The 26,655-nt window shown below is 39.7% G+C and overlaps 1 protein-coding gene across 31 annotated transcripts in view, besides 3 other annotated features; it reads left to right on the top strand.

Annotated features, from left to right (window-relative positions):
• Positions 1–26,655, top strand: part of ALG9 (ALG9 alpha-1,2-mannosyltransferase) — a 103,557-nt gene that overhangs the window by 27,661 nt on the left and 49,241 nt on the right. For 16 of the 31 annotated variants that reach the window (XR_001747968.3, NM_001352409.1, NM_001352418.1 and 13 more), the window contains 4 exons: positions 3,112–3,266; positions 5,543–5,672; positions 6,306–6,453; positions 7,627–7,756. Coding sequence is in view for 24 of the 31 variants with exons in the window: in NM_001352409.1 (NP_001339338.1) it covers positions 3,112–3,266; positions 5,543–5,672; positions 6,306–6,453; positions 7,627–7,756 (563 nt within the window). In the remaining 7 variants the exon portion in view is untranslated. Of the gene's footprint in view, positions 1–3,111; positions 3,267–5,521; positions 5,673–6,305; positions 6,454–7,626; positions 7,757–26,655 lie in introns of those variants that run through there. The other 15 variants (XR_001747967.3, XR_007062503.1, XR_001747977.2 and 12 more) reach the window with 2 other exon arrangements.
• Positions 4,418–4,919: an enhancer, noted in NCBI's record as "H3K4me1 hESC enhancer chr11:111709725-111710226 (GRCh37/hg19 assembly coordinates)". NCBI's record gives its function as "activates a minimal SCP1, AML or CMV promoter by ChIP-STARR-seq in naive H9 embryonic stem cells {active_cell/tissue: H9 hESC(naive)}" and the evidence as "EXISTENCE:reporter gene assay evidence [ECO:0000049][PMID:30033119]".
• Positions 14,080–14,219: an enhancer, noted in NCBI's record as "active region_5521". NCBI's record gives its function as "activates an Ori minimal core promoter by ATAC-STARR-seq in GM12878 lymphoblastoid cells {active_cell/tissue: GM12878}" and the evidence as "EXISTENCE:reporter gene assay evidence [ECO:0000049][PMID:35858748]".
• Positions 14,538–14,657: an enhancer, noted in NCBI's record as "active region_5520". NCBI's record gives its function as "activates an Ori minimal core promoter by ATAC-STARR-seq in GM12878 lymphoblastoid cells {active_cell/tissue: GM12878}" and the evidence as "EXISTENCE:reporter gene assay evidence [ECO:0000049][PMID:35858748]".

Raw genomic sequence — 26,655 nt, 5'->3', positions numbered from 1 at the left:
ACTTCAAACGAAAGTATAAAATCTGAACCATACAGGGATTTCCCCAAATTTGATAGTGAAGTAAGGGAAGCTTTGGACTTCCTCAGAAGCATGATGCTTTTCTTTGTTCCTTTTTGTTTCTGTGTCTGCCTTATTGGAGAAAGTTTGGTTTGTCGTTTGCTTTGCTTGCTCTGATTCTGTAGTGCACAGCTGGTGTTTTCTCAAGTTGTCGTGGCTCTGGATATCTAGTGCCTCTCATTTCTTTTATGGAAGACAGATTTGAACAGAAATTCATATGAGGTTTGGAAAAAGATTTAATTTCAGACTTTGCAGTCTGATTTGGATGCCATATGATCAGTTCCCCCATCCCACCTCCATTCTGCTTTTCTACTATTAATGGTTTATAATGAGTTCGTTGTATTATAAGAATATTAGAGCAGCCTTCAGAGTCACTTTTCTTTGGTGTTAGGACTTTTGTTTCAACGTAGCCATAATGCCATTATCCTAATAAAATTATCAGTAATTTCTTAATATCATCTAATACCCATTGATTTCCTAGATTGTCTGAAAAATAGCCTTTTATAGTTAGTTTAAAGCAGAATCTCAACAAGGGTCACGTACTGAATTTAGTGTTATATTTCTTAAGCTTTTTAAGAAGACCCCCATCTTACTTTTTTTCTTTCGAAGATTTCTTTAAAGAAACCAGGCCATCATCTTGCATAATGTCCCACATTTTAGACTCAGCTGTTTGCTCCCTTGAGGTGTTAACTTATTCCTCTATCCCTTCTATTTCTTAAGGATCACTTTTTCTTTTTTTGAAAATAGCTATTTTTCTGACTATAAAAATAATTTATGATAGCTGGGAGCAGTGGCACGTGCATATAGTTCCAGCTGCCCGGGAGGCTACGGTGGGAGGATTGCTTGAGCCCAGGAGTTCGAGACCACTCTGGGCAACATAGTGAGACCTGTGTCTCTGTTTTTAAAAACAACAATAATAATTATTTATGCTTGTGGAAAATTTGGAAATGCTTGTAACGTCAGTAAAAAAACAGGATATTAAGCTGTTCTCTACAGTATGATAAAATTTTAAGTATAAAATATTGGTTTAAAATGCATAATGTATGCACATATCTACCTAGTAAGAAAACATTTTCTGTTTTTTTCTTTATATTTTTATGTGATTTTAGAATAGAACCAATACTTTTTTAAGAGAAAAAAGACCAGGCACAGTGGCTCATGCCTATAATCCCAGTATTTTGGGAGCACGAGGTGGGAGGATTGCTTGAACCCAGGAGTTCAAGACCAGCCTGGGTGAGATAGCAAGACCCTGTCACTACGAAAAAAATTAAAAAATTAACCGGGCATGGCGATGCACACCTGTAGTCCCAGCTACTTGGGAGGCTGAGGTGGGAGGATTGCTTAAGCCTAGGAGGTCAAGGCTACAGTGAGCCATGGTTGTGCCACTATGCTCCAGCCTGGGTGACAGAGCGAGACCCTGTCTCAAGAGAAAAAAAAAGTCCCCCAAACCATAGAAAATTATTAAGAAGCAGGAAAGAAATTACTCTTGATTTCATCATATCTAGCTGTGGTTGTGATTTTGTATATTTTATGGAGGACATTTCAAAATTTTTTGCCTTATTAAAAAAAGATTACTCGTTAGCCTTTAAGGTACAGAAGAGAAAAGGACTGTTTACTTGTGGACAATAAGTGGATTTATTTTCTTCTAATTAAAAAACCCCACCTTAGGCCAGGCACAGTGGCTCACGCCTGTAATCCCAGCACTTTGAGAGGCCGAGGCGGGTGGATCACCTGAGGTCAGAAGTTCAAGACCAGCATGACCAACACTGTGAAACCCCATCTCCACTAAAAATACAACAGTTAGCCTGGTGTGTTGATGCATGCCTGTAATCCCAGCTACTAAGGAGGCTGAGGCAGGAGAATCATTCGAACCTGGGAGGTAGAGGTTGCAGTGAGCCGAGATTGTGCCACTGCACTTCAGCTTGGGTGACAGAGAGAGACTCCGTCTCAGAAAACAAAAAACAAAAAACCTCCCCCTTAAAATATACTACCTAGAAAGGTATATATTCTAAATTATTATCTAAAATCCCATAATGTCTTAGAGCAAAAGTTGAAACAAAATCTTGTTATTGTAGTTCAAGAATTTTTATCCTTAAAGAATTTCTACAGTGAAAGTGATAGCCTAGGAATGCTAAATTAGGCATAGCTAAAGTGGATCTTGACGATAATCCTGATCTTGTAAACTGGCTTACTGTTAACATGGTGGACACCAGGGGGCGCTGTCTATCTACCATTTGCCCGCATTTGCGTTGCTCATTATCACTCCTGTAAACGCAGTAGGAGATGCCTTCACTGTGGGTTGCAGGCTTATCTCTCATTTCTCATGTACCTAACCACGGGAACTTTCCAGCAGGTTCTTGGGTTTTAGTGTTCATTACATTCCTTTAATTCTTTCACATGCTTTAAGTACATTTTTGTTCCAATTTGGGGATCCGGAGTGGATGAGTATTGCAAAATGGAGAGAAAACAATCACTGAACTTCCTTTAAGAGCATTTTTATGTTTGCCTTGAAACAAACTCCGTCATTTGTGGCTTGATGAAAACCAGTAATGAATTTGAGAATCCAACAATTTTGTTTTCCTTTGATCCATGGCTATTTGAACAGACTGATTGGTGTATAGATAAGAGACACCAATTAAACAGAACATTGGAATTAAAACCCCAGAAATGAATTTATGTTATGCTTTTGGTTAAACTCAGGAACTTTTCGTCTTAGTGGCAGGACTCATTAAAGGAGACGGCTTATTTTTCCTTCATCTAACGTAGAATTTATTAAGTTCTATTAGCCATTAACTTGACATTTATATGTGTCCTAACCAAATCTAGTATTGTGCTTGTTGTTAGAGTTTAGATCTCTTGGGAGAGCTAAGGAGTATATTCTTCTCTCCTTTTGATGCCTTTATGGCATTGGAGAAAGTGTGAATACAAGAGTAGAAACATTCTATGGAGTGTCCTAGGGCATACTCCTAAATTTGAGATCAAGATAACACTAAAACTAAATATGTTGTTTTGTTCTAATATAATGAAAGATGGGTATTTTTCTGTGTCTTGCAGTTCAGAATTTAGGCCACCCGTATTGGCTTACCTTGGCTCCAATGTATATTTGGTTTATAATTTTCTTCATCCAGCCTCACAAAGAGGAGAGATTTCTTTTCCCTGTGTATCCACTTATATGTCTCTGTGGCGCTGTGGCTCTCTCTGCACTTCAGGTGAGTTTCAGGGAGAAGTGTATCTGCCTCATTCTTTTTTACTTATTAAATAATTGCTCACAAACTTAAGTGCAAATTACAGAATGCTTCCACCTAAGATATTTTATCCATAACATTAAACCTGATATAGATCATATTATTAAACCTTCTTATATTGATTGCTTAGCTGTTTACCATACTTGTATTTGCTGATTACATGTTTGCAGTGTTAATTTGTGTGTTACTTTGCCTCTGTTACCAACAGGAATCCAATTGCAGAATTCCATTCTGTGGCAGAAGTAATGGAATGTCTGCTCTTTGAACTGCTAGATCATAACAAAACTTGCTCAAGAGTTTGGGATCACAGCAGGCAGTTCACAGTATGGGGCACTTTGTAATCCTGGTTGAAAACCTGCCCAGGTCAATTCTCTGGCAGAGCTCATCTTAACTCTGTTTGAATATCTCTGTACTTACGGCTTCAGTAGCCTCAGAACCCTGTATTGCCCTCTGCTACCATTTGCAGTTGGCAGAAAAAAAATAATTAGGATGATAGGTTTTTTTCTTAACAGGTTTTTTGAGATATAATTCACAAACCATACAGTTTACCTATTTAAAGGGTATGATTCAGTGGTTTTTAGTCTATTCACAGATGTGTGCAGTTGTCACCACAGTCAGTTTTAGATCAAAAACCCTGTACCCTTTAGCTATTGTTCCCCCATTCCCTTTCTCATCTCTCACCAGCCCTAAGTAACCATTAATCTACTTTCTGTTCTTATAGATTTGCCTATTCTGAACATTTCCTATACATGGAAACATATGATATGTGGTCTTTTGTGACTGGCTTTTCTTAACATAATGTTTTCAAGGTTCATCAATATTAGGTGATAGTTTTAAAAAATAATTTTAATTATAAAAGTAATTGAACTTTATTGCAGATAATTTAGGAAGTAGTAAAAGAAAAATTAGTCACATTAACCTAACAAAAACTCCTCCCAGCATTTTTGTATATCATATACCAAGGTTTGTTATAGTTGTAATAATAAGTATACATGTAACTTTATATCCCCCCCCCCCTTTTTTTTTTTTTGAGACGGAATCTTGCTCTGTCGCCCAGGCTGGATGGAGTGCAGTGGCGCAATCTCGGCTCACTGCAAGCTCTGCCTCTCGGGTTCACACCATTCTCCTGCCTCAGTCCCCCGGGTAGCTGGGACTACAGGCGCCCGCCACCACGCCCGGCTAATTTTTGTATTTTTAGTAGAGACGGGGTTTTCACTGTGTTAGCCAGGATGGTCTCGATCTCATGACCTTGTGATCCTCCCGTCTCGGCCTCCCAAAGTGCTGGGATTACAGGCGTGAGCCACCGCACCCAGCCACTTTATATCCCTTTTAATTTAATATTGTAACATTCTCTGTGCTTATCATTTTAGTAGCTGTAGAATGTTCTGAGTTGGATATAATATATAGCATTATTATGTAATATGTAATATATTGACTTGACTTTATATAATGTAATTATTGGATATAATTCATGGTAGAATTTAGGTTGCTCATTTATTCAGTATTATGCTAGGATAAATATCTTCATTTAGATATTTAGATTGATTCCTCAGGATAGATTCCAAAAAATATGAAAAAGGTTCAAACAGATTTATGCCATTTGTTATATATTGGAAAATTGCTTTCTGTAAGTAGTTTCTGTCTAGAAGGGAAGGAAGGAAGGGAAGAAGTCTGAGTAGAAGGTACTCAAAGACAGCAGAATTCATGCATGTGTGTTTATATTATATTCATCTAGTTTGTAAAGTCATTCAGCATATAATTAAGAGCATGTTCCTAGTGTTCTATAAGGGGAATTCTTTTTTCTTATTTGGTCATGAGACCTTTTTTTGATACTAATAGCTTTGATAAAAACTTTGATAGTAAAGATTAGTACTCATTATATCAAAAACAAATTGGAATACTTTATATATCAAAACTACCAAAAAAGCATTGCTTAAATATTTAAAAAAAATAACTTATTAGGACTATAAATGCTAGCAAAATATTCAAATAATTTTCCTATGAAGCTAGTGAGATTTTATTGTTGGCAAGCCCTCTGCCTGGCCAAGACTACAGGTAGTCTTAGAGGAGTTGGCTTTTATCTTAGAGTTTGGAGTAGGTACCTCACTGTTGGCAAATGCTCAGATCCCTAATAGAACCTCTTTTTTGGCTTCGCTCTTGATGTTACTGTGATGTCTTGTAATTATGTATATTCTACAAATTATATTTTCTTTTATCAGCACAGTTTTCTGTACTTCCAGAAATGTTACCACTTTGTGTTTCAACGATATCGCCTGGAGCACTATACTGTGACATCGAATTGGCTGGCATTAGGAACTGTCTTCCTGTTTGGGCTCTTGTCATTTTCTCGCTCTGTGGCACTGTTCAGAGGTAGATCTTCTAAGAATATCTTAACCTACACTGACGAGTCACTTGCTCTTAGGTTTTACTTGATTCATGATTATATAATACATATTTGGCTTATACTAAGAAGCCATTTCTAAAAAGAGAACCTGTAGACTTAATATTAATGAGTGGCATATGACTTCTGTATCTTAGGATTGAAGAGAAGATTGAGAATTCCTTTTAGTGTGATTAACTGTACATTTTTTGTCTATTTTTGTTGTTTTTTTCTTTTAATGGATGCTGATAAATTAAGGAAGCCTTAAACTTAAAATGCAAATTTGGGCTAACATTTCATGATTATATTCTTTCTTATAATCATTGTTTGGATCCATAATATTAAAAATATGCTCAAGGAAAATGAAGGTAAAAAGAAGAAGGAGCATAGAGAGGGGCAAGAAAGCCAATTATTTTTTGCAGAATAGGGCCTCTGCTGTAACCGTGTTCCCAGCTAGAGAGACATTTTATACCTGCAGAGCAGGCTTCATGCTGGAATGGCTATGGCCCTTCCTGCCTTTTAAATTTCCTGTGGCTTACAGTGCGACATTAATGAGCAGTATAATTAAAGTGAGAATCTCATCTTACTCATCTCTGGCTCTCACTAACTGTTCTCCCTTCCAGGATATCACGGGCCCCTTGATTTGTATCCAGAATTTTACCGAATTGCTACAGACCCAACCATCCACACTGTCCCAGAAGGCAGACCTGTGAATGTCTGTGTGGGAAAAGAGTGGTATCGATTTCCCAGCAGCTTCCTTCTTCCTGACAAGTAAGTTGTCCTTTAATTCCTAGGGTTTTAAATGAAGGAGTAAATAGAGCAGTTCTATATCAGTGTCTTCTAATTTTTGTTTTCTTTTGGAGTTTTCACAGAGAGTTATTGAATTATCTACCACGTCGGAGAGCTGTGGGGCCTGTGTACTGTGTACCTGCCTCCTGTGTTCATTAGGCTTATTAGGCTGAGGGCTGGGTCTAGGTAGACATTCTGCACTGCCCATAACTGCAGGTGTCTGGGGACTTCTGAAAATGCCCTGGGTCCTAGGCTTTTGCCAGTGGCTCTTCGTGGGGATTCATATTTACATTTCTATAATGATCTGATGTTAATCCTCTTCTAAAAGTGGTCTAGAAACTCCAGCTAGAAGAGAGAAGACATTCTTGACCCAACAGTAGTGAAAGTTCTCCACCATTATGTGGACACTGGGGAAGGCTGTGGTTAAAATGTCTATACCAGTTTCCTTTATGCTTTCTGTGGTTCTGAGAGCATAGGCCCTAAAGTTCTTTGTAGTTTGCTTCATTTGGCCAGAGAAGAGTCCTGTGTAGGTTAAAGGGAAATCTGGTTAAGATGAGTCATGTTGCTCCATTTGAGAAATGGCTTCAGTAGCTTGGCTTTACTGGGTAGTAGTTTCTTATGCTTCATAAAGACCCTGTGTCAGTCATTAATGATTAAATTAAAACTTGTTTTTTAAGTGTTGACTTTAGCCTTTGCCTTTTACGTTTGAAATAGTTTTATAGATAAAGATATGTTTGAGGGTTACTCCGGAACAAAGTATTTCTCCCATAGTGTGTTCTCAGTGCCATATATTACATTTCATTCTTTTTCTCTACACCTGATAATTTGCTTTATTTGATAAGTCTCTCTGCCCACATAGTAATTGACAATAAGCATTGGCACTTCTCTGGTTTTTTGATGATATGACCATTTGGTTGTGAATTTCACTGCTAACAGTTGGTGAAATGGGTCAAGAGACATCTAATTATAAATTTCTCAATGATTTTGGACTGACTTGTGACCTCTGCCTCTGTGCTCCCTGGTTGAGGTTTTAGCAGAAATATTTTTTCTTCAAGAGAAATGTTTTTCACATGATTTTCCTGGCTTGTTTGTTTCAAGTACATTTAGCAATATTATCCCCCTGTGTTTTTCTTATTCTCCTTGTGTTTCTGACAGTTGGCAGCTTCAGTTCATTCCATCAGAGTTCAGAGGTCAGTTACCAAAACCTTTTGCAGAAGGACCTCTGGCCACCCGGATTGTTCCTACTGACATGAATGACCAGAATCTAGAAGAGCCATCCAGATATGTAAGGGCTACATTCTCTTCTTGCTTCTCTGAAAAGAATTCTATGCCTAAAAGTCTGTTGGTGTGTATATTAGAGCATTGATAAAATGAGAATTTCTTAGAAAGCAATTTTTTTAAGGCCGGGTGCTGTGGCTCACACCTGTAATCCCAGCACTTTGGGAGACGGGCGGGATAATTGCTTGAATTCAGAAGTTCGAGACCAGCCTGGGCAACATAGCAAGATCACATTTCTACAAAAAATTAAAAAATAAGCCAGGTGTGGTGGCTTATGCCTGTAATCCCAGCCTTTCAGAAGGCTGAGGCAGGAGGATCACTTGAGCCTCGGAGTTCAAGGCTGCAGTAGGCCATGATTCCGCTACTGCACTCCAGCCTGGGCAACAGAGTGAGACCCTGTCTCAGAAAAAAACCGGATATTTTTTAGGATGAGGGGTATAACAGCTTTTGTTGAAAAACAGTAAACAGTATCACTTTTATTTTCAAATTAACCTCTTTATTTTCTATGTAAAATGTATAATTTAATTTTGAAGGTTTTGGGTAGGCTGAAAGTTTTCTTACGGTAGAAGTTTGAACCATTATTCTGAAACTCATATCATTCCTTGGCCTATTAAAATCCTTAATGAGGAACTTTCAAGTTATCAGGTGGACCTTTGACCTAGCTATTAGTATATTCCGGTTTTAACAAATGAACAGTAAAGACTGTTTCCATACTGAATGCCAGGGAGCAGCCTCTGTCAGGGCCATGATCTTCTCCCTACTTGTCTTTACACATTCTGAGATCCCATGCGAATTTTACTTCAGTTCCTTTGAAAGATGACACTTTTGACATTTGATACCTGTGAAATCTTTGATAATGAAAAAGGTAAGAAGTAATAAAGATAATGCTCCTTTTGGGTCACAAAGACAGTGTAAGATCGTTGTCTAGAATTATTAGAAAGCACATTTTTTGATAACCTGATAACCTGTCCGTTAAAGAAATATGTAACAGTTTAAATGTCAGCTATATTTAATTTACATTTTCTTATGTCATATGCTTAAAATGTAAAATAGCAAGACTTCCAATTCTCTTCTGAAGCAAACCTGCAGCCACATCTGGTCTTTTGTCTCCCAGATTGGGGCTGGTTAGAGTTCCATGGAGACCCTCAGGGTTTATGAGTGAGATTCTTATTGTATGAGCTGTAACTATAAGCTATGAAAATGGACACTTAAAGACACAGCCTTGAGCTGTTCCCTTGTAAGACAGGCGTTTCTGCCACATGGATTGTATTAGAGCTTTATTCTTTTAATTTAAGGCTCTGATTCCTGTTACAATGGAAATACCCTTGGGCAGGGTAGACTGTTACAGGTCATTTTAATTTTATCTGCAGATATGAGTCTCCTGAGTGCAGGGCATCATTCTAGAGAAGCTGGACAGTCAAAGGGTGGGAAAATACACTGTCATAGGGGGACAGTATGAATTCAGAGTGATGTTATCGGAGCTTTGCTTTAGGAAGAGGTAGTAAAAATGGAGTAGTAAAAAAAAGAGCGTGGACTTTGGAGTTGAGTAGGCCTGCATTCAAACCTCAGCTCTGTTGCTAAACTTGATAACCTTGGGCAAATTAGTTAGCTTCTCTGTTTAATTTCAGTTTCTGTCTGTAAAATGGCACCTACTTTGGAATTATGATATTTGATATTATATCTCTCTGTAGCAAAAATGCAATGTTCTTATGCTTGCACAAGTGTTCTTAATCTGATAATGGTATATTAGACAGATTCCAGGTAAAGAAACCCAATCTCTCCCCTTCCTTCTTTTTATTGTTTCCCATCCTTGTAATTTTATTCCAGTGTCTCCAGACTCATCATTGCGTTTTCCACCCCAGTGACTTCGCTTATATTGGTGACTATGCCTGAACTACCCTTGTGTCTCTTCTCACACTATCAAAATTATCTTCCTCTTTGAAGTGAACTATTTAAGTCCATATTGAGCAGACCTTCCTTTAAGTGTCTTCAGTATTTATCTGTGCAGTTCATTTAGCCATTTAATTTTCTTGGTCTTAGTTAAATATTTCTGATATCATATCTTTCCACATCAAATATGTGAATGCCATGAAGAGAATGACTGCACTTTGTTTCTTTTGTGTTCACCATAGTGTCTAGGACGGTGTCATGTACCCAGTAGTTCACTTTTACATGCTTTCTCAGTGGATAATGAATATTCATCGTCATTGTGGTAATGATGTTGAGAGAAAGCTGGCTAGAAAATCTACAGTGGCCTTTTGCACATTTCTTAGGCTTTTATCACTGGTTGTCTTAGTTAGATCATATTTCCATATTCTCTGCTGTCAGACAGTGTTAAATTTGATTAAATGACTCTATATGAGCTTTACCCGAAAGGTGATGATTTTTCAGGATGCCAGTAGGAGTCACCAAAATGCTGGCTGATAAAAGCAGGGAAAAACAAGTGATTTATGTCTGCTGGGTAGCAGCTGTGTCCAGCCCTTTGAATGCGAGGATTTTTTTGCTTATCTGTGGTGGCAGAATCATGAAAATTAGGCATGGACCTTTAGCTCTGGGTGGCAGGTTTTAGCCAGCCTTTGGCTTCAATGCTAAGTGCTCCAGCCTGTCCCGTTTCTATTGTGCATGGAAACGAGGAAAGTTGTATGACTTTTTTTATTTCACTATTTTCTTTACCTCTGGGCTAATCAAGAATTAGGAGTGAATAAGTGTAAAGGTTCTGTGGTTTGTACTGTACCATTATAACTATATTGCAAAAATAATGTTTTTGCTGCATATTTTTTCATGGTAGGTATTGAGTAGCTATTGAATATCTCATTATTGAACAGGAAGCATTTACAGGGGTACATGCCAAGATTGCCAAGATTTTCTGCCAGAATCAAGATCTAAATTTGGAAGATACATTCAGTGTCACCTCTTTAGTTCTTGAAAAATTCACATTTTTGTTCACTATTTCAAGGTGAATGATACACTTCCAGCTCCAAATCTAGTATATGATTTAGGAGCTACCTAGTCAATGGATGAAACCTTGGAGGAAAAAACAGCTCTTCAGGAGAGAGCTTACAGAAAAAGACTTTTTTCTGACTTTAATTTAATGCTTAAGCAGACTTGCTGGAAGTTTTCCTGTTTTCTTTCTTTTTTAAGAGACTGGATCTTGCTCTGTCACCCAGGCTGGAGTGCAGTGGTGCCATCATAGCTCACTGTAACCTCAAATTCCTGGGTTCAAGTGATCCTTCCACTTCAAGCTCCTGAGTAGCTAGGACTACAGGCATGCATCACCATGCACAGTTAATAGTTTTATTTTTTCTAGAAACAGAGTCTTGCTGTGTTGCCCAGGGTGGTCTCAAGCAATCCTCCCATCTTGCCCTCTCAAAGCTCTGGGATTATAGACATGAGCCACCATGCCTGTCCTCCATCTGTTATCTTTGAAAACATAGATTGGTCATTGATTTTTTTCCTAAGCAGTAATATAGTCAGTTCTGCTACAATAAGATATAAAGTTATGAAAAATTAATATGTGGTAAAAACCACAAAGCTTATTGGGAAAACGGAGTTAGGGACACAATACTTAAAAAACTTTGTCAGTTAAAAAAGAGATTAAAAATTAGCCATGCATGATGGCTCATGCCTATAATTCTAGCACTTTGGGAGGCTGAGGCAGGAGGATAGCTTGAGGCTAGGAGTTTGAGACAACATAGCGAGATTCAGTCTCTACAATAAAAAAAAAATAAATTAGCCAGGTATGGTGGCTCATGCCTGTAGTCCTAACTACTCAAAGGCTGAGGTGAGAGGACTGCTTGAGCCCAGGAGTTTGAGGCTACAGTGAGCTACAGTCATGCCACTACACTCCAGCCTGGACAACATAGCAGGACCCTCTCTCTGAAAAAATAAAAATTAAAAAAAGATTAAAAATGGTAGCATGATTTTACATATGTTAAATGGTTAAAAGTGCATAAATACTACAATAAATGTGGCTGTTTACTTTGCAGAAGACTTGAAGTTTGCTTGTGGCCTGGTATTGGAAGGATTGCAGCTTGTAGTAGTAAAAGGATTATCTGAAATCTTACAAAAGTTATAATAGCAAAGGTGAATGGGTGGATGTGGCTTATAACACAGTGAACTGAGAAGGCCAGTAGATATATTTGTGTATGTATACACTATGTGTATTCCTATGCTGATTGGTTCCACTGAGTGTACTTTTCTGCATTCACCTAGTGTTTCCTGTGAATTAAATGACATAATCAAATGCAAAAATTAAATTACGCTCAAAGTGTTCCCTAATATATCCCTTTGTTGGAAAAAATTTGCATTTTTGAAACTAGTATTAGAACAGAATTGACTGTATATCAGTTCAAAATATTCTTTATTTCATTCTTCTTTATCCCTGCTTTTCCAGTTTAACCAGTAAAAAGAATCATAGATTTAGAAGGGAACTTAAAATGTAGTCTGTGATCTTTTTATTTTATGGATGAAAGAACTGAGATCTAGAGAGATTATAACTTGATAAAGATTAGCCCTAGGATAAAAGGCTTGGTTTCAGGATTCTTCAATATTATTTTCATACCACCTCTTTCTTGTTTTTGTGTGATAGCTAATCATTCTTTGATGTTACAAGGCCAAATAGACATTAAGTAGCTGAGCATTGCTTTCTGTTTGTTTGTTTTGTTTTGTTTTTCAGAGGCAGGGTCTCACTCTGTCACCCAGGCTGGAGTGCAGTGTCATCATCATAGCTCACTATAGCCTCGAACTCCTGGGCTCAATCGATCTTCCCACCTCAGCCTCCTGAGTAGCTGAGACTACAGGTGCTGTAAAGACCCTGTCTCTATGGAGAATTAGGCTGGCATGGTGGCTCACACCTGCAATCTCAGCACTTTGGGAGGCCGAGGTGGGAGGATCACCTGAGGTCAGGAGTTCAAGATCAGCTTGGCCAACATGGTGAAACCCCGTCTCTACTAAAAATACAAAAATTAGCCAGGCATGATGATGTGCACCTGTAATACCAGCTACTTAGGAGGCTGAGGCAGGAGAATCACTTGAACCCAGGAGGCGGAGGTTGCAGTCAGCCGAGATGGCGCCACTGCACTCCAGCCTCGGTGACGGAGCGAGACTCTGTTTAAAAAAAAAAATTTAAATTAGCCACTACCCCTAGCTAATTTTTAAATTTTTTGTGGAGAGAGGGCCTCACTGTCTTGCCCAGGCTGGTCTCGAACTCCAGGCTTCAAGTGATCCTTCTGCCTTGACCTCCCAAAGTGGCGGGATTACAGGTGTGAGCCACTGTGCCCAACTCATTACTTTTTTAAAAAATTACTTTCCATTTCTAGTTTATATATGACAGGTACTTACTTTAAGTAGTAAATATTATGTTTAACAATAAATAAAAATGATCAGGATTTCCCCCGACATGCTTTCCTTTCTTCTCTTTTTCTTCCTTTCTCTCTCATTTTATCCCTTCTCCTGCCCTTTTTGGAAGTCCTTATTGGAGGAAAAAATAACTTGCCCTATTTGTTTCCTCACTAATTGTTATCAGTCTCGGGTATCAAGGCAAGCAGATTCAAATTGCTGTAATATATACAGTGCAATTAGATTAGAGTCTACTAAGAATTTAATTGGAGAATGTTCAAAATACTTCTCTAAAGTTAATTTTTTTAGTATTCATTATGTTGGCATTTAGAAATTAATTGATGTTTCCATGATCTATAATGATTGAATGAACAAAAATTTTTACCTGTGAGTTTAGATTTTTACAGTGCAATGAATTTTTTCTTGTGAGTTTAAAGATTCAATCAACAAATATGTATTTAGCAAGGCTATATGAGAGACAAAAAACTAAGACAGTCTGTGGCTCTGGAGGACAACTACTTTTTAAAATTTAACTGGAGCATATCTAAAAGAGGAAATGAAAAGACAGAAAAATACTTGAAATTTTTCCCTTTCAGATGTTTCCTCCCAGGCCTCCATGTTCTTATTTCAATAAAGGAAATATCATGGGAGGATATTGATGATTGGCTATTTGATAGTGGCAAGAGCATTGACTGGAAGTTAGGAGAGTCTGATTCTTTTCTGGAATCAAGTGAAATGTATTTTCCTTTTAAATGACTGGGAATTTCTAAGACCATTGACATTTCTTTGCTTCCCTTTCCAATTTGCTGAAACTACACCTGAAATCCAACTGGAGTGTTTATATTTTAGCTTATCCCATTACCTATTTTCCTGTCAAATATTTTATGGCAGCACAGTTTATCTTGAGACATGTGTCCTGAGCCGGGGCCCTCATGACCAGAGATGGAAGTCTACATGCTGCTTCTGTCCTGGAAGAGATGAGTACTGTTAGAGGCTTACTCTGTGCTGTGTCCCGCTCCAAGAGTGTGATGCTGGTGTTTGAGAGTTGAGATGATGTCACTGAAGACTGCAACCCTGACAAAGTTTCTGTTACAGCTGATGAGGAAAAGCTGTGACAATATTTATTACTACCCAGCTCTCCTTAGCTCACTCTTCCCCCGACAAAATACACATCTTTTATTATTGGGATCTCAACCTCTGTTTCAGGCCTTCTATTTCCTTTGAGAATGTGTAGTTTTGTTTACATCTGGAGTGGTATTAAATTGTTATCCTTAACATATGCTTGTTTATAAGATGTAAACAATGTGATATTGATGATGGATAAATTGGCTTGAATTCCCCCGCTATTACCTTTTTCTCTTTTGGTTTAGAGGTGCTTATTTGTTCTTCTCTAAAGCTTCTAGTGGGTTGAAACAGAAAGAAGTCACATTTCTTTCAAAATGAGTCTTAAATGCTTGTGTTTTACAAAATTTTAAATTAAGGCATATTTTTAGCTTCGACAGCTGGTTGATATGTAGCCTGTGACTAATGAAATGAAACACATTTTTGTTTCATGATCATGTGTTAATGTCACCCTACAATTTTGTTATTTTTGATGCAAGAAAGAATGATTAAATCTGAAGAAACAAAAAAAATGGGCTCTTTGGTTATACTTTAAGGCAGATTTAAATCCAGTCTTTTGATTTTTGAATTGTAGATGATGTGGTTATGATCTCAGATTTTGCAGTGTGAGATATTTATAAAATTGAGAGAATAAATTTATTCTCTCTGGTTGTAATTCAAGTCATGTTACTTTAGCTTTTAGACCTATGGGGCAGTAGACAGTTGGTGTTTTCAGGGATATAAACTGAGGACTCTCAAGCTAAAAATAGTCACAGTAAAACAATATATATAACATGATCCAGATCTTGTAAAGAAAAATCAATATCTGCAGAGAAGTTCTGGGATATACACTAATAGGCTGATGGTGATTTTCTTTGGGTCGGAGGACTGTAAGTGATTTTGTAAGATGTTTTTTGTAATAAATAATGTTTTAATTTCATCATGGAAAAAAAATAACTGTAATGGGGGCTGTCACTGTGAAATCTTTGATACCCCTACCAAGAAGATCTGTGGTGGACTTGAGCAACATTCAGTGTGTTTTCAGTTGACCTCGAGTTTCTCTTCCTTGAACATAAGGACTTTCAACTCAAAATTGGAAGATAAGTGTTCTATCAAGTAATTTTTCCCTCTTTGCCTTCAGGCCTCTTCTTAAGTCATTTTAGTCATATTTAATACTATCTTTGCTACTCTTTCCACAAATTATATCTTGATTACTTCAAAAAAATAGATGTGGTTTACCAATTTACAAGCTCCAAGGAACGCTTTTTGTTAGAAACCTAGGACTAAAGAGGATGCCGCAGTGCACAAGGCAAGTACGTTATTAAACTCTTCCAGGCAGAAGTGAGTTAAGGAATTAAATACAAATTTAAATAAAGTTAATTTTCTGGTTGTTGGGGTTTGGACAGAAAGCCTTGTCTGTCCCGTAATCATGCTCAAGACTATCCATTGGCGGTGTAATTCCAACAGTTTTGAATCACTGGCTCAAGAAGACAATGATGTATAAATATTATCAGCACAACCATGTTCATCTCCTTTTTTTTTGATGGAGTCTTGCTCTGTCACCCAGGCTGGAGTGCAGTGGCGCAATCTTGGCTCACTGCAACCTCCATCTGTCTGGTTCAAGCAATTCCCCTTCCTCAGCCTCCTGAGTGGCTAGCTGGGGTTACAGGTGCACACCACCATGCCTGGCCAATTTTTTTGTATTTTTAGTAGAGACAGGGTTTCACCATGTTAGCCAGACTGGTCTCAAACGCCTGACGTCAGGCAATCTGCCAGCCTTGGCCTCCCAAAGTGCTGGGATTACAAACGTGAGCCACCACGTCCGGACTCATCTCTTATCTTTAGGCACCTTTTTTTTTTTTTTTTGGAGACAGAGTCTCTCTCTGTCACCCAGGCCAGAGTGCAGTGGCATAATCTCAGCTCACTGCAACCTCCACCTCCCTGGTTCAAGGGATTTTTGTGCCTCAGCTACCGAGTAGCTGGGATTACAGGTGTGTGCCACCATGCCTGGCTAATTTTTTGTATTTTTAGTAGAGACAGGGTTTCACCATGTTGGCCAGCCTGGTCTCGAACTCCTGACCTCATGTGATCCACCTGCCTTGGCCTCCCAAAGTGCTGGGATTATAGGCGTGAGCCACTGTGCCTGGGCATCTTTTTTGTTCTTAATCACTGTTAAGTGTTTCTTACTCTTTTCATTCGTTGGTTGATTCAGCCATTCATCCAACTTTTTATTGTCTCTATGTGCTGAAAATAGGTGACAGAAAGCATAATCTCCTTCTTTTGAGACTTTCACTCTTATTGCCCATCTCGACCCACTGCAACCTCCCACTACCGGGTTCAAGTGATTCTCCTGCCTCAGCCTTCCAAGGAGCTGGGATTACAGGCATGCGCCACCCCGCCTGGCTAATTTTGTATTTTTAGTAGAGACAGGATTTCTCCATGTTGGTCATGCTGGTCTCAAACTCCCGACCTCAGTTGCTCCGCCCACCTCAGCCTTCCAGAGTGCTGGGATTACAGGTGTGAGCCACTGTGCCCACCAATCTCCTGTCATTTAAGAAAAGTCCCTTATAAGAAAAAAAGGCAGAATTATGGGGAAAAGAAGGAATTGAAAGAAACAGAAACAATGTAGGAAGCAGAAATATTTCCTGATAGATTAAAAATTTGGGGTTCATAAAACAAAAACATATGCTCTTCATATTATTTGTGCTTTTAAAAGAGAACAATCAGGAAATAAGAGCTGCTAGAAATTAAAAATAAAGGAGATTTTTAAAGTCAGTAGAATGATTAGAGGATAAGTTTGAAGAAATCTTCCAGACTATAATAATACAAAACAAATCAAAAACAAAGAGATAGAAAATAGAAAAAGAACAATAAAATCAGAATCCAGAATTTAGCTAATAGGAGATCCAGAAAGAGAAAACAGATGAGACGGAGGAGAGGAGATTGCCAAAGGAATCATGTGAGACTATCCCCAGAACTGAAGGATATCAGTTTTCAGATTGCAAGAGCCTGCAGAGCGTCCCTGAAATGATGAATGAGGAAAGATCCATACCAAGATATATCAAGTACCAAAAGAAGTTAGTGTATGTTACTATTTGATAATTGAAAAATCAAAAGCTACCAGGAGAGGTGAGGATTGTTTGAACCCAAGATAGTGCCACTGCACTCCATTCTGGGAGACAGAGTGAGACTCTGTCTGAAAAAAATAAAAAAACCTACCAGGAGAAAAAGCTGGAAGAGTTGAGTGGTTGTCTCTGGGAAGTTGGACTGGGGAATCAGGAGGGTACTGCTGTTTTTCATAATAAGCTTCTTGTACTAAGTTTTTTTTTGTTTTTTTTTTTTAAACTCTGGATATATTGTTTATTTTGTCATCCAGGCTGAGTGCAGTGGTACAGTCACAGCTCACTGCAGCCTCGACCTCCCTGACTCAAACAATCCTCCCACCTCAGCCTCTCAAGTAGCTGGGACTATGGACCTGCACCACCATACCCAGCTAATTTTTTATTTTTTTGTAGAGACAGGGTCTGGCAATGTTGCCCAGGCTGGTCTCAAACTCCTAGACTGAAGTGATCCTCCCACCTTGACCTCCCAAAGTGTTGGGATTACAGGCATGTGCCACTGCACCTGGCCGCATATTATTATTATTATTATTATTATTATTATTATTGAGACGGAGTTTTGCTCTTGTTGCCCAGGCTGGAGTGCAGTGGTGCGATCTCGGCTCACCGCAACCTCTGCCTCCTGGGTTCAAGTGATTCTCCTGTCTCAGCTTCCTGAGTAGCTGGGATTTCATGAAGGCATGCGCCGCCATGCCTGGCTAGTTGTGTATTTTTAGTAGAGATGGCGTTTCTCCATGTTGGTTAGGCTGGTCTCAAACTCCTGACCTCAGGTCAGGTGTTTCCTGGTGATCCGCCCACCTTGGCCTCCCAAAGTGCTGGGATTACAGGTGTGAGCCACCGCGCCCGGCTGTATATATTATTTTGATAAACCTAAAGGTGAATTTAGAAAAGGACATAAATCTTGCCCTCAGAGTCTAGTAGAAGAAACAAACTTAAAATGTTATTAAACAGTGTACTGAGTGCCATAATGTGCATAGAGAAGGTGAGAAAACTCTTCGTACTTCAGCCTCACATAAGAGGTAGCATAGGAGTTGAGTCTTAGAGGCTGATTAAGAATTTTCTGGCTGAGGAAGGGGAAATTGACATTCCAGTCAGAAGGAACAGCTTTTGCAAAGGCCTGAAGTATGAAATAACATTGAATATTTAGGGGAAATTAAATGGCTTGAGGTTTCTAGATTTTAGTTAATTGAGCAGGAGCATTTCTCATTTCTTCTCTGTTTCATTGTTCTCACATATTTATGTATGTGACGGTGTTCTCTGGCAAATTTTACATTTGTTTAAAGACAAGGGTTCATGTTTGTCATTAATCTTTCAAACCTTCACAATGCCTGGCATAGGGATTATACACAGCAGGTGATTTTTAAAAATTTAAGTGAAATACTCAAATAGCCCTTCATTTAGTCTTTTTGAGCTAAAGAGAGGCCTCCCCAAACCTTGTTAATAGTAGAAATTTGGACCAATTAGGACTCAAGCACTACCATTTTTCAAGGTTGTTTGTAGTCCAGTAAGAGTACCAGGTTACAAGCACCTGGAGAACAGGGATCATGTCTAGCTTTCTCCTGTCGTTTGTTTCTAATGTAAATTGACAGAGGTTGGTATTTGGCAGATTTGTGTCCTCACTGGTTTCCTGTCAAGTTTGATATGTTGCAGGAAGATGGAATACTTTTCTTTTAGCTATGATAGGTCTATTTCACACAGATGTTTCCGAATTCTCTGTTCAGGGTCATTTATGGAAACTAATTCAAAGCCTGGGAGCCATGCCTTCCTCATGCAACTTAATAAAATTTCATAGGTTGATGCAAATATTAACCTGGGTAGAACTTTATCTATTGAATTTATATTCTTCTGAATGGGTGATGAAAATAACTGTGAAAAGGTTTGCGTTTAAAAAGACATTCCCTCTTCTTAGATTGTAAAGTATATAGCAGGAACTGATAATAATGCAAACTAACTGATTAAGCACAGAAATTACGGTAGGAAAAGATTTTATAAGCATGTTTTGCCAACTCTGGATAATTGAAAATTAACTTCCCATTACTTTTTACTTACGCTTTGGTATAATGGCTTTATTCTATTGGCTGAATGCCACTCAAAGTTTATACATCTGATATTGTCCATCATAAGTTGGAAGCTCCTAAAGGGAAGATATCTATCCATGTATTTGTCTTCCTCTGGTCCCCTTTTAAACTGTAATAACAATATACAACCCGTAAAGAAAAAAATGGAGATTTTGACAAAAATGGTGACTATTTGTATATATGTCGACTTAACTCCAAAGTAGAAATTCTCTAAAATTTGTGTGATTTTTCTTTTGTTTCCTAATTTAGTACTTAACAGGACTTTCTTAATGGTGGCAGTGATAGTGACTTTAGTCATAAATACTAGTGAATTTCATTCTGTATCATAGATGCATTCTTAAAATATTTTATATACACTGATATTTTAAAAGTCCGATTTATGAAAGAAACCCAGAATTTGTTATTGTAAAACAGAAGAAATCAAGCGATCTCCCATGATTTCTCAGATTTCTAAATCTGCATTTTTGTATAAAGTAGTTTGTTTATTTTGAGATATGTTGTTGAGAACTAAGAGATATCATCCAGTTGGGCTTCACTGAGTTGCAGTACCACCATCCTGGGTGTTCACCCTTATGTACTGATTTCACAAGGGGGACAAATAGTTGCAATTCACATAACACCTCTCATCAATTGGTAGTGGCTTACTGGAGCCTGGGATGAAAGAGCATGATGACATTGAATCCAAGCTCAGTGGAAGAGTGCCACAATTGATTGGTGATGTGGAATGTGAACAGTGGGAAGGGAAACAACCATTGGAGCTTTCTTTATTTACCATCACCTAACTTCAGGATAGATCTGTGTGGTGATCTAGGCTCTGTAGATAAGACATGTGACCTTTTCCCAAGTCAGACTTTTTATATTGCTAAAGCTCTTAGAGATGAAGAAGCACTGTAAAAATTCAGAATTTTTCAGGCATGTAAGCCCACAAAATTTCTGTAACCTTTCCATATTTAACATTGGCTTTAAATAGCTCCTTGACATCAACAAATTGAGAGAATTGAATGATCTTATTTTGCCTTTGCCATTTGTGACACGTTCAGTCACAAATGTAACTGTGTTCAGTACTAAAAGCAAGACATAGACTTTCTAATTGCTCAAGACTTGGCAGTGTAAAAGCAAATCCTGTATATTTGTTACCTCCAGCACAGGGCTTTTAATATGGAAATGTATGTAATGATGAGCAGCAGTAGTTTAGAGAAGAGTAGAATCAGCAAAGGGGAGTATATTTGCAATTGTGAGGAAATTGCTTTCTCTACAGTTGCTTTCTCTAGAGTTGAGGAATTGCTTTCTCTAGAGTTGAGAGGGATCTTAGTGGTTTGCACTCCAAACCTTTTGGAAAGGTGGTAAAATCTCTGAGCCTAGGTTAAGCTACTTCCCTAAATCACAGAGCTAGAGGCAGAATATTCAGCGGTCCCATTTCCTGATGCAAATGAAAATATTAGCTAGATTTAAATAAAAAGAGCACTTAGTCGGAGGCAGAAAATACAGAGCTTCTTTTTTATTTTTGTTTTTGAGACAGAGTTTCAGTTTTGTTGCCCAGGCTGGAGGGCAATGGTGTGATCTCGGCTCACTGCAATCTCCGCCTCCCGGGTTCAAGCGATTCTCCCGCCTCAGCCTCCTGAGTAGCTGGGATTACAGGAATGTGCCACCGTGCCCAGCTAATTTGTTGTATTTTTAGTAGAGACGAGGTTTCTCCATGTTGGTCAGGCTGGTCTTGAACTCCCAACCTCAGGTGATCTGCCCACCTCAGCCTCCCAAAGTGCTGGGATTGCAGGCGTGAGCCACTGTGTCTGGCCTGTTTTTTTTGTTTGTTTATTTTGTTTTTTGAGACGGTGTTGCATTGTCACCCAGGCTGGAGTGCAGTGGCATGATCATGGCTCACTACAGTCTCAACTTCCTGGACTCAGGTGATTCTCCCACCTCGCCCTCCTGAGTAGCTGGGACTACAGGTGCACACCACCACACCCAGCTAAATTTTTGTATTTTTTGTAGAGACGAGGTCTCACTATTTTGCCCAGGTTGGTCTTAAACTCCTAGGCTCAAGCAGTCTGCCCACCTTGGCCTCCCAAAGTGTTACAATTACAGGTGTGAGCCACAGCACCTGGCCTTTTTTTTTTTTTTTTTTTTTGAGACTGAGTTGTGCTTTGTCACCCAGACTAGAGTGCAGTGGTGCGAACACAGCTCACTGCAACCTTGACCTCCCAGGCTTAAGCGATCCTCCTGCCTCAGCCTCTCGAGTAGCTGGAACTACAGGCACGTGCCACCGTGCCTGGCTAATTTTTGTATTTTTTGTAGAGACAGGGGTTTCACCCTGCTGCCCATTGCTGGACTCAAACTCATGGGCTCAAGCAATCTGCCCACCTTGGCCTCCCAAAGTGCTAGGTTTACAGGTTTGAGCCACTGGGCCCAGCACAGAGCATTATTATAGTCTGTTTTTCTATTGCTGTCATTTTGGAGCATTAGCCACTTCTAATGTTTGTTTTATGGGTGCTTGTTGATATAACCTGTATCTATCTCGAAGTCCCTCAAGTGGGTATTAATGCAGTGTGATTTCTGCCCAGTGCTCTGAATGTCAAAGTGAAGAAATTCAGAGAAGCCTGGGTAGCCGGGCGTGGTGGCTCACACCTGTAATCCCAGCACTTTCGGAGGCCGAGGCAGGCGGATCACAAGGTCAGGAGATTGAGACCATCCTGGCTAACACGGTGAAACCTCGTCTCTACTGAAAATACAAAAATTAGCTGGGCGTGGTGACAGGCGCCTGTAGTCCCAGCTACTCAGGAGGCTGAGGCAGGAGAATGGCGTGAACCCGGGAGGTGGAGCTTGCAGTGAGCCGAGATCGTGCCACTGTACTCCAGCCTGGGCAACAGAGCGAGACTCTATCTCAAAAAAAAAAAAGAAGCCTGGGGAAACAGCGGAAGTCACTATGACTCTTAGCCAAATGCCTCGTCATCTCATTAGTGACACACATGAGTGGACCATTTCTGTAAGAACAGATTCCCACTGTTCCTACCTATGATTCAGCAAAACTACAGCCAAGGGAATGGGCTTGGCGGAGTCATTGGGAAAAGAAGACCCTGTCGAGCTTGACTCTAGTCTGGCATGGTAGAGAGACATGAGAAATGTAGAATAAGCAGGAGGCCCCAGGGGTTGGGGATGATCTCCAAGGGGCTCTGGCTTTTGGTGCTGCTCTGGGGACAGTGCCAAGTAGGATGTTTGACTGGGGCAGTACACCTGTCAAACAGTAATGCAGGTGTGTTAAGGTGAGCTCAAGGAGGACAGAAGCCTCCCGTGGAGCAGAAGGGGAAAAGCCCACTTGATCTTGTACAAATACAGAGCATGAAAGTAGGACCTTATAGGAAAAAAATACTGATAATCCATTTTCAAATATGTAGAGCATATGCAATAGGATTTCTTTTTACTTTTTAAAAAATTTTATTTTTAGAGACAAGGTCTCGCACTCTTGCCCAGGCTGGAGTGCAATTGTGCAATCATAGCTCACTGCAGTTTCAAATTCCTGATATCAAGCAATCCTACCACCTCAGCCTCCCGAGTAATGAGGATTACAGGTGCACACCACCATACCTGGCTTGTGTGTGTGTGTGTGTGTGTGTGTGTGCGCGCGTGTTTGGAGACAGGGTCTCACTATGTTCCCAGGCTGGTCTTGAACCCTGGCCTTAAGTGATCCTCCTACCTTAGCTTCCCAAAGGATTACAGGTGTGAGCCACAATACCTGGCCCTACATTTGTATTTTTTATAGTAAAAAAGTTGTGGCTAAAATGGAGTCAAAAAACATCTTAGAACTTCTTTACATGCAGAAAGTTCTGGAAGGTTGCAGAACTGGACTTGATTATCTCTAACATCTTGTCTGTGAATTGAGAAAGGCAAGAAATACCAATTGGGAATTTGAGTTAATGCTATGGTTTGTGTCCCCCAAAGTTCATGTATTGGGAACTTGATCCCCAATTTGTCAGTGTTAGGAGGTGGCACCTAATGGAAGGTGTTTGGGTCATGGGACATCTGCCCTCATGAATAGATTAATGCCATTATTGCCGGAGTGGTTTATCTCGAGAGTCAGTGCCTTGTAAAACAATGAGTTCATCCCCTTCTTGCTGTCTCTTGCCCTGTCTTTGCCCTTCTGCCATGTGCTGCCTTCTGCCATGAGATGGCACAGTAAGAAGGCCCTTACCAGGCGCCGGCACCTTGATTTTGTACTCATCAGCCTCCAGAACTGTAAGGAAGTAAATTTCTTTTCTTTATAAATTATCCTGTCTCAGATATTCTGTTATAGCAACACAGATTGGACTAAGACAGTTGCTCTTAAGTGTGATTCTTCTGTTTATTTCCTTTGGATTCTGTAATCCCTTTCCCAATAGCAGGAATGCAGTCATGGATCTGAATAGAGTCATATATTTTGATGGCACAGTGAGAAGGCCCTTACCAGACACCAGCACCTTGATTTTGTTTAGTAGATTTATTACGATATGATGTGATCTTTATTGTATGGTATTATGGAGGAAATAGATTGTCCTCCAGGGGCTAGAAGCTAAGGGAAGAAATTCTTGGCACTTACAAATAAGCTGGTCATAGTTTTGAACAGCGTGGTGTTGGAAGTTGTCCAGCATCCTGGTGTGGCTGGTCACCATTCTTTCCTTCCGCAAATACTTTTTGACTGCCTGAGATATGCCAGGTACTGTACCAGGCACCAGGTGTATTGTGCTTATAAAGACAGATTCAGTTCTTGCCTTCACAGAGCTTACAAGGTTCAGCTATAAGAAGGCTTGGGCCTTGCTGCAGTTGCTCACAGAGGGATTTGAGGAGATGTGATGAATCAGAATTTATTATGTGTTTGGAAGGAAGACATTCTGAATGCTGCTTAAAAGCTAAGTATTAAATTAATAACATATGTCAGCCATTGTGGCTGCTGGATAGTCTCAGTTATGACCAAATTTTACTTAGCTGTGGGCAAACTGTCTAAACAGTTTTTTCAGCTTTAATCCTCCCACTTGCCTAGGAGTTTACAGGGCAGTTGATTTAGATTGATCTTTCACATTATCCCCTTGGACTCTTAGAGGATTCATGATGACAGTTGTTTACCAGAGGATTTTCAGTGACATATGAGAAATAAGATCTGTCTTCTGTGTGGAGATGGTTTCTCTGTGATGTTCCCTGAACCTCATGTTGGCCCTTGCCAGAGATCTCTATTTTTACAGCTACTTGCGTCATTGTCATTTCCAGCTGATAGATGATTGAATGCAACTTCACATCCTTCCTGTCTTAGGACTTGTGGGGCTTTGGCTCAGGCAGCTGGATAGACAGCAGAGAAGGTCACTGAGAATAGGAGGTTGGACTATTAGTTCTTTCCTTGTCCCCACATGGCATTCTAAACTGTGATAAAATTATTTGATACAACCATTGAACCCATTCCTCCTGTTGCCTTTTCTCAGTCTTCAGATCCCCATAGTGTTTCTGTAGCATTTGAAATCTACTCTTCACCCAGATTTTCAAAACTGTGTACTTCTTTGATTCTTCTATGTCCTGTCTTCTGGTTCCCTTCATCCTTGGCTGCTTCCACTTCTTTCTTCTGCCCAGTGCTACGGGCATCTTCTCAGCTTTATCTGTGGTCTTTGGCCCTCTCTGTTTGTTTTTTGTCTCTCTTCTGCTCTTTTACCTTTTCTTCCCTCCTTCACTTCCTCTCCCTTTTTTTCATGCATTCTTCATGTATTTGTTAAGTAGACATTTACTTAGGACCTACTGTATGTTTTGTACTGTGCTAGGTTTTTGGCATAGAAGAATGAATGAGATAGACACAGCCCCAGATTTTATGGAGCTTACAATGAATTTCCCAATTAATTAATAGAATATAATTGTAAAATGTTTTGAGAAGTACTGGTTGCTATAAGAGCATGTAATTTAGGCCCTGTCCTAGTTTAAGAGGTCAGTGAAGTCTTTCTTAAGGAAATCATTTTTAGCTGAAATCTGAAGGATGAGTAGGAATTTATGAGGGGACAACAGGGAATGTTCCACGAGTAGGAACAGAAAACAGTTCTCTAACTCAGTATTTTAGTCATATTGGTCTTCTTTCAGTTACAGTTGTGTGCTGCTCAGTGACACTTTGATCTAGGGCAGACTGCATGTTTGATGGTGGTCCCACAAGATTATTATGGCTACACCATACAGCCTAGGTGTGTCATAGGCTATACTGTCTAGCTCTGTGTAAATACACTCTATGATGTTCACATAATGATGAAATCATCTAAGACACATTTCTCAAAACCTGTCTCCCTCGTTAAGTGACGCATGACTGTACTTGAGTACCCCATGCTTCTTCCCACCTCATTAGGTGTAAGACACAAGTTATCATCTTTCCTCAATGTCACCCAAACCTATTCTTTACTGCAGCCTTAGTTCACTGAATTAGAAATCTTGGTGTCACTGGTTTCATTTGAAATAGAAGTGAGGGCCAGGTGTGGTGGCTCACGCCTGAAATCCCAGCACTTTGGGAGGCCGAAGTGGGCGGATCACCTGAGGTCAGGAGTTTGAGACCAGCCTGATCAACATGGTGAAATCCCGTCTCTATTAAAAATATAAAAATTAGCCAGCCGTGGTGGCGGGCCCCTGTAATCCCAGCTACTCAGGAGGCTGAGGCAGGGGAGAATCGCTTGAACCTGCGAGGTGGAGGTTGCAGTGAGCCGAGACCGCACCACTGCACTCCAGCCTGGGCGACAGAGCAAAATCTGTCTCAAAAAAAAAAAAAAAAAAGAAATACAAGTGAGATTTGTCCTTTCTTCTTTCTTCATTCCCACTGCCATAGAAATATCAGAAGGTGATGTAGAGGCAGGTGGATCACTTAAGCCCAGGAGTTCGAGACCAGCCTGGGCAACATGGTGAAACCCTGACTCTACAAAATACAAAAAAAATTAGCCAGGCGTGGTGGTGTGCACCTGTTGTCCCAGCTACTTAGGAGGCTGAGGTAGTAGGATCACTTGAGCCTGGGGAGGTCGAGACTGCAGTGAGTTTTGTTTTTTATTTTTTTTTGAGTCAGAGTCTCGCTCTGTCTCCCAGCCTGGAGTGCAGTGGCGTGATCTTGGCTCACAGACTGCAGTGAGTTGTGATTTGCACTACTACACTCCAGCCCGGGTGACTGAGTGAGTCCCTGTCTAGAAAGAAAGAAATATCAGAAGGCATTATCACTTCACAACTGAATATTACAGTAGTAACTAGAGTGCTTACTTCAGCTTTTTCCTCCAACACTTTCTTGCCTCATCCTCCGC

This window comes from Homo sapiens, chromosome 11, assembly GCF_000001405.40.
Source record: "Homo sapiens chromosome 11, GRCh38.p14 Primary Assembly".
NCBI lineage: Eukaryota > Metazoa > Chordata > Mammalia > Primates > Hominidae > Homo > Homo sapiens.
This window is presented reverse-complemented; position numbering and strand designations above follow the sequence as displayed.